Below are 7,664 nucleotides of genomic sequence, written 5' to 3'. Positions count from 1 at the left end.
AGTGTTGGACTGGACTAGAGGGATTCTGGGTGAATGTTTCCCATCTTTCTCATTTGCTTGATTGCTAGCATAAAGCTACTTGTGCAACATACAAGAGCCAAGAGTTAAAAACAGTTTTTAAAAAATACAAAGTCATTAACTGGGAAGTTCTTATTCTTTGCTCGTATGCTAAAGCTGTTTGACTTGAGTCCAGCAAACATTCAAGTTGAAGATAGTATTAAATTGTACATTGTTTGTGTGTCTGTGTGCATGTATATGTATATGTGTGGTATGCGTGTGCATGTGTGGTGTGTGTGCATGTATCCATGTGTATGTCTATGTGTTTGGTGCATGTATGTATGTGGGGATGTGTGTGCATGTGTGTGCCTACATGTGATGTGTGCACATGTGTGGTATGAATAAGTGTGTGCTGTTTGTGTGTATGTGTGGCATATGTATGTGTGTATGTGTGTGCATCTGTGGTGTGTGTGCATGCATGCATATGTATGTTTATGCACAGTGAGTTTGTGTGTGGGGTGTGTGCATGTGTGTGTTGTATGTGTGTGTGTTATTTGTGTGTATGTGTATCATGGTTATGTGTGCATGTGTATGTATGTATGTGGTGTATGTGTGGCATGTCTGGTGTGGATGTGCATGTGTGTATGTTTCTGGTGTGTGTGTGTACATGATGTGTACATGTCATGTGTGTATATGCATGTGTCTTAGTCCATTTTCCGTTGCTATTACTGAATACCACAGATTGGGTAATTTATAAAGAATAGTGGTTTATTTATCCTATAGTTCTGGAGGCTGGGAAATCCAAAAGCATAACATCAGCATCTGCTGAGGGCCTTCCTGCTACCTCATGACATGGCGGGAAGCATCACATGACAAGACAGAAGGAGTGTACTAATTTAGTTCTCTCTTCCCCTTCTTATAAAGCCGCCAGTCCCCCCGTGGGGGCCCCGCCCTGATGACCTTATCTAATCCTATTTATCTCCCAAAGGCCCTACCACCTAATGCCATCAATATATGAATTTGGGTACTAAGTTTCCAACACATAAAATCTGGTGACACATTCAAACCATAGCAGCCTATGTGTGCATGTGAGGGTGCATGTGTGTCTAGCACATCTGAGAGGCAAGTTCTGGTGATCCCAGCCCTGCCACAGCCATCTCTCTGCCTTCCTTCATTAGCCAAGGGGATGCTTCACCAGGCTGGCACTCCTGATGCAGGGCTTTATTAAATACACAGGTTGTCCCTGGCCTATTCTTAGTTCTGGCAGATTCTTACAGGAGGAAAATGAATTCTTCCCCTGCTCAGAAACAGCATGTTCATTCCAAGTAGTGTCACCACTGGGAGATGTGACTGTTACAAGGCCTTGTAAAATAACCAGACACTACTAGGCAGAGTGGTTTGTTTGTTTTTTAAGAAAAATATTTGAGGGCCGGGCGCAGTGGCTCACACCTGTAGTCCCAGCACTTTGGGAGGCCAAGGTGGGCAGATCATGAGGTCAGGAGATCAAGACCGTCCTGGCTAACATGGTGAAACCCCATCTCTACTAAAAATACAAAAAATTAGCCGGGCGTGGTGGTGGGTGGCTGTAGTCCCAGCTACTCAGGAGGCCGAGGCAGAAGAATGGCATGAACCCGGGAGGCGGAGGTGGCAGTGAGCAGAGATCATGCCACTGCACTCCAGCCTGGGCAACAGAGTAAGACTCCGTCTCAAAAAAAAAATATATATATATATATATATACATTTGAAAGTACCTGTGCTCAGTACGGTGCAGTAAAAGGTCATGATCTTGGAATAGGGAAGACCTTATTCCAATTTCAATTTTATCTCTGCCACTTCTTCTACCCATTAGACTTTGAACTTTTCGACTAATCTTCCTGAGTCTCTCATCTGTAGCTGTTTTCTCATCTATAATTGAGGATCAACATATCTAACTTTAGGATTGATAAGAGAATGAGATGTGATAATGTACAAAAGTATCAATGTCTATCTGGCACATAGTAGATGCTTAATAAATATTAGTCTCAAATTCCTAAGCATCTTGATTTGTGAAATACTCCGCTCTTTTTTGTCCCATTTTTTTTTCCTGTGTCATCCTCCCTCCTTCTAACGTTTAATGCTAATGATGTTAATGAGGGGGAATCTGGAAGTCTGCTAACTGGCTGAGCCCTTGTCTCCCTTCTCCATTCTGTTTGCCTTGTCTACGGATCCCAGAGGGAGCTAATCTCCAGAGCGTGGTTGGGGGGTGGTGGTGGTCCTGGCTTTGTGGTAATTACAGGTATGAATCATTATCCCCTGTGGGGTTGAGCAAGGGCCCAGACATCACCTTCCTGGAGTTCCAGGGTAAACACTAGGCATTTTAAGATACCCAGTGAGAAGCACTTGAGCCTCAGAGACCTGAGGACTTCAGAGGGAGTGGAGGAAAGGCCACCACTTACCCACAGGATGGGCCTGGTCCCTTGGACATCAACTGCTGAAGAATACAATGAAATAGTGGGTTAAGTTCTGCCTTCCTTTGATGCTGGGTCAGCACAGCAAGCCTTGAGAGCAGAGAGGCTCTGCTAGCCAGGAGCCTCAGCAGTGGGGCCAGGGGCTAAGCCCTGGTCTACACCAGCTCTACCTTTTTACCTGCATAAACTTCTGCTGAGGACATGTTAATAATCAAACTAAACCAGCACCCTAAAGAGGTGAAAAAAAACAAAAACCCATAACCTATCTAGAGGGTCCAAAGGTAGAGAGAGAGAGGGAAGCCAAGATAGACAGAACAGGTACTCAGTGAAACAGAGGGCCTGGGGGAAGCAGATGACTTGAATTTTAAAACATAAGAGTAATATAAAGATGTTCAGGTGATAGTAAGAAAAAGACTCCCTGGGACTAGTCTCTGAGCTAAACAAAGGAATAGGAGGTGTCAGTCATAGTTGAGGCCTAAGTCAGTGGCTCAGAGGGCCAAGTGCATGAACTATCTGAAATCTCAGAACAACATGACTTTGAAATCAGGAGAGACAAGATAAGAGACTAGGAGGAGAGAGGAGGGAAACTTAATACACGAACTACAGGAATTTCAGAAAATGAGAAAGGGATACATAGAGAAAGGACAATTAAAGAACAGAAGACATAACAGAAGACCACTTTCTTGAGACAAAGAAAAAAACAGAGTCTGTGGATGGAAAAGTTGTACTAAGTTCTAGGCCTGGATTAATAAGAAAAGGCATAGATGTAGGCATATCCTAGTAAATCCCTGAATTCTAAGCATAAATAGAAGGTTTTATGAGCTTCCTGGCAGAAATAAATTACCTAAAAGGATAAATAATTAGACTCACATCAGACTTCTCTGCATTAACTAGAAGATTGAAGATGGTGGAATTGCATCTACAGACAGCTGAGTGAAAAGGATGGAGAAACCAAATCCATACTCAGTCAAGGCCATCCTTCACTAGAAGAATACACTCACATGATCCATCTGAAAAGGGACTTGATAATAATGTTCATTAAATGATAAATGAACCCAAAGATAGACTAAAGATGGGGAGATGAAGGGCAGGGTACATGGCATTCAGCGATATGTAGTTAAACATAATATTGTATATATGTGTGTGCATAATTAGACGCAGATGAACATGATGAAGCTGTCTGGGAGTAGCATAATATGCTTGTTAAATTCTCCTCAAACAGAAGGAAGAGACTATCACACAGAGTTCAAAACTATGAAACCATCACAGCAAAACCTAGGAGTTCGGAGTGGTGCGGTAAGGGGGCAAATTGACATCAACTTCAAAGTCTCATTGCAGGGGCCAGAGGGAGGGGGTGGTGGGCGAAAAGGAGGACCAAGCTGAAGGAGGAAAGTGAAAATATCTCCAGGACCCATCTCTCTGGGCCAAGAGAGAGTAAAAGCAATGCTGAGAATCTTGGTGGGAGCAAAGGCATCTTTGGTGGGAAAGAGAATAGTTCACATCTGCAGGGCTTGGTGGCTTACCCCTATAATCCCAGCTATTCTGGAGGCTGAGGCAGGAGGATTGCTTGAGGCTGGGAGTTTAAGACCAGCTTGGGCAACATCGTGAGACCTTGTCTTTACGAGAGAGAGAGAGAGAGAGACAGACAGACAGACAGACAGACAGACAGACAGACAGACAGAGACAGAGAGATGAAGAGAGAAAATAGCTGGGCATGGTGGTTGAGGACGGAGGATTACTTGAGCCTATCACACGCGTACATGTGAAGAGACCACCAAACATGCTTTGTGTGAGCAACAAGTCTGTTTATTTCACCTGGGTGCAGGCGGGCTGAGTCCAGAAAGAGAGTCAGCCAAGGGAGATAGGGGTGGGGCCGTTTTATAGGATTTGGGTAGGTAGTGGAAAATTTACAGTCAAAGGGGGTTTTTCTCTTACGGGCAGGGGCAGGGGTCACAAGGTGCTCAGTCGGGGAGCTTCTGAGCCAGGAGAAGGAATTTCACAAGGTTAATCGCTCAGTTAAGGTGGGGCAGGAATAAATCACAATGGTGGAAAGTCATCAGTTAAGGCAGGAACCGGCCATTTTCACTTCTTTTGTGATTCTTCACTTGCTTCAGGCCATCTGGATGTATACGTGCAGGCTTGGGCTCAGAGGCCTGACAGAGCCCAGGAATTCAAAGCTGCAGTGAGCTATGATTGTGCAACTGCATTCTAGCCTGGGTGACAGAGTAAGACCTGATCTCTTAAAAAAAAATTTAAAAGAAGGTATCTATCTATCTATCTATCTATCTATCTATCTATCTATCTATCTATAGATATAGTAAATATATATCTTTAGAGAGAGAGAGAATAGTTAACATCTTACTTCCAGATATTTGTAGCAAAATGTAGAGTCAAAGAAGAGAGCCAGCAAAGGAAAAGTCAATGCTAATGGAATGGGAGTGGACAGAAGAGCTCCAAATTCACAATGGGAAGAAATAAAATGAATACGAACATCTTGGTCATTTGACCTAAACTAAGACAATAAAAGTCAAAAAAGGAGAACCAAATACTAAACATAAAACAAATTGTAAAAAATAGAACAAGGTCTACCAGCAGTTACTCTGTATGTTGAATGGCTGGATTTTTCCCACCTAAAGACAGGGACTTTCATATTGGGTTAAAAGATGAAATGTAACCATATGCTGTGTTTGAAAAAACTATGCTTAAGACAGTAATAAGTGCTTAAAATAAAGGGAATGGCAAAAAGAATTTAGTAAGGTGGAATGGTTATAAGATAAAACACAAAAATCAATAGCCTTTCTCTCTTCCAGTAAATAAGCATCTAGAAATGAAAAGGAGGAGAAATATTTTATTTGCAGTAGTGATAAACACTCTAAAGTATTTATAAATGAATATAATTTTAAAAGACAGGACCTATATGGAGAATATTAGAAGATCTCAAGGAAGGATATAGAACTAATATAGAGCTGATCAAAGGAAAGGACATAGTGAGTTGTAAAATAATATGTCTTATAAAAATGTCAGTTCACCTCAAAATAAATATGTAAATGAAATAAAATTTTGATTGGAATTTCAAATGCAATATTTTTCTGAAGTGAGTTATTGAATAAATTAATATATAAATCTATATGGAAAAATAAATGCCTCATAATTGTCCCCACACACATCAAACATGTGTGGGCCTGAAAGTAGGCCATGTCCTTGATGTATCAAAGGTATAAATGAAGAATGAATGACTCATCTTACTTGACACTGGAATTTTGGAAAAAGTCAGAGTAACCCAACCAATCTGGCACTGGTATCGGACTAAACAGATCAGTGGAATAGAATAGAGCGTGCAGAAATTGGTCCTGCTTAACAAGGATTTTCATGTAATAAAAATGGTGGCTAAATTTGGTTGGGAAAATGGATACTTGAACACATGGTGCTGGAACAACTGGTTCTCCTTTTGGAAGGAAATAAAATTGAATCACTATTTTATATCATCCAAAAAAATTTAGGTGGATTACAGACTTGTGTTAAAAGGATTAAAAATTTGCAAGATAAACAATATGTATAACCAAAGGGTGGAAAAAACCTTCTGAACCAAGACAAGAAACCCAGATGTTAACAAAGAAAAGGTAGGCATATTTGGGTCCATAAAATTTTAAAATATACATGGAAAAAACACTCATGAATGAAATAAGAAGACAAATGGTAGACTGGGTGTGGTGGCTCATGCCTGTAATCCCAGCACTTTGGGAGGCCAAGGTGGGTGGATCACCTGAAGTCAGGAGTTCCAGACCAGCCTGGCCAATATTGTGAAACCCTGTCCCTACTAAAAATACAAAAATTAGCCAGCCGTGGTGGTGCATGCCTGCAGTCCCAGCTACTTGCGAGGCTGAGGCAGAAGAATCGCTTGAACCCGGGAGGAGGAGGTTGCAGTTAGCTGAGATTGTGCCACTGCACTCCAGTCTGGGCAACAGAGTGAGAATCTGTCTCAAAAAAAAAAAAAAAAAGACAAATGGTGAGTTTGGAAAGAATGCTGGCAGCACAGATGACTCTATGTATGTGTGTGTGTATATATATGTACATATATATGTACATATACATGTATATGTATATACATGTATTGTATATGTGTACATATATGTATGATGTATTCAGTGCTTTAAAATATGTATATGTATATGTGTACATATATGTGTATGATGTATTCAGTGCTTTAAAATTTGATGAAAACAAGCAACACAAGAGAAAAAAAGGGCAGGCTATTATGAAGAAGCAATGTATACAACAGCAAATTCAAATGGCCAAGAATTATATTAAAATTCTCTAGCAGTTAAGAAAAGAGCTTAAATACTACATAAGCATTATAGTCGCAATGGTGTATCACTTTCTACCCTAGAGCCTGACAAAAATCTAAGAGAGTGATAAATATTGCCAGAGGCCATGTAGGCCAAAAAGCTCTCTCCTGCACTGTGAATGGAAGTGTGAATGGTTAGAATCTTTCAGGAAAGTAATCTGCTAACAACTGTTAACATTAAAAATTCAAATCAACCTTGACCTAGCAATCCCATTCCTGGGATATATTCCATAGAAATGAAACTGCTGGCATGTACTCTCATATTGTAATTGTCCAACATGTTCTTCCTGCCTGCTGCACAGACAAAAACAGTTCACTTGGATCATGGTATCGCAGTAAAGAAAGAGTTTAACTGATGCTACACCAGCCATGCAGAAGATGGAGTTATTACTCAAATCATTCTCCCCCTAGGTTTGGAGGTTAGGGTTTTTCCAGGACAGTTTGGTGGGCAAGGGACTAGGGAATGGGTGCTACTGATTGGTTGGGGACACAATCATAGGGGTGTGGAAGACGGTCCTCATGTGCTGAGCCTGCCTATTGGTGGAGCCACAGGACCAACTGAGTCATGAGTCACGAGTCCAGGTGGGGTCAGTCGGATGCCAGAATTCAGAAGTCTGAAAAACATCTCCAAAGGCCAATCTTAGATTCTACAATAGTGATGTTATTTATAGGAGCAATTGGGGCAGCCACAAATCTTGTGACCTCTGGCTACATGACTCCAGAGCAGTAAGGGATTACAGAAAGTATGCCTACATTTTAGCAGAATTCAGGCCCCTCCCATAATCATAATCTTGTGGCCTTTCTTTAGTCTTACAAAAGCAGTTTCAGGCCCCAAACAAGCAGGGGATCAGTTTTAGAGAGGGACTATGATCATG

At 41.3% G+C, this 7,664-nt stretch overlaps 1 annotated feature.

The window, feature by feature from the left end:
* Positions 4,187–4,760: an enhancer, noted in NCBI's record as "OCT4-NANOG-H3K27ac hESC enhancer chr14:96434413-96434986 (GRCh37/hg19 assembly coordinates)". NCBI's record gives its function as "activates a minimal SCP1, AML or CMV promoter by ChIP-STARR-seq in naive H9 embryonic stem cells {active_cell/tissue: H9 hESC(naive)}" and the evidence as "EXISTENCE:reporter gene assay evidence [ECO:0000049][PMID:30033119]".

The sequence above is a fragment of the Homo sapiens genome, chromosome 14, assembly GCF_000001405.40.
Source record: "Homo sapiens chromosome 14, GRCh38.p14 Primary Assembly".
Taxonomy (NCBI): Eukaryota; Metazoa; Chordata; class Mammalia; order Primates; family Hominidae; genus Homo; species Homo sapiens.
The sequence above is the reverse complement of the archived record's forward strand: the minus strand, read 5'-3'. Positions and strand labels throughout refer to the sequence as shown.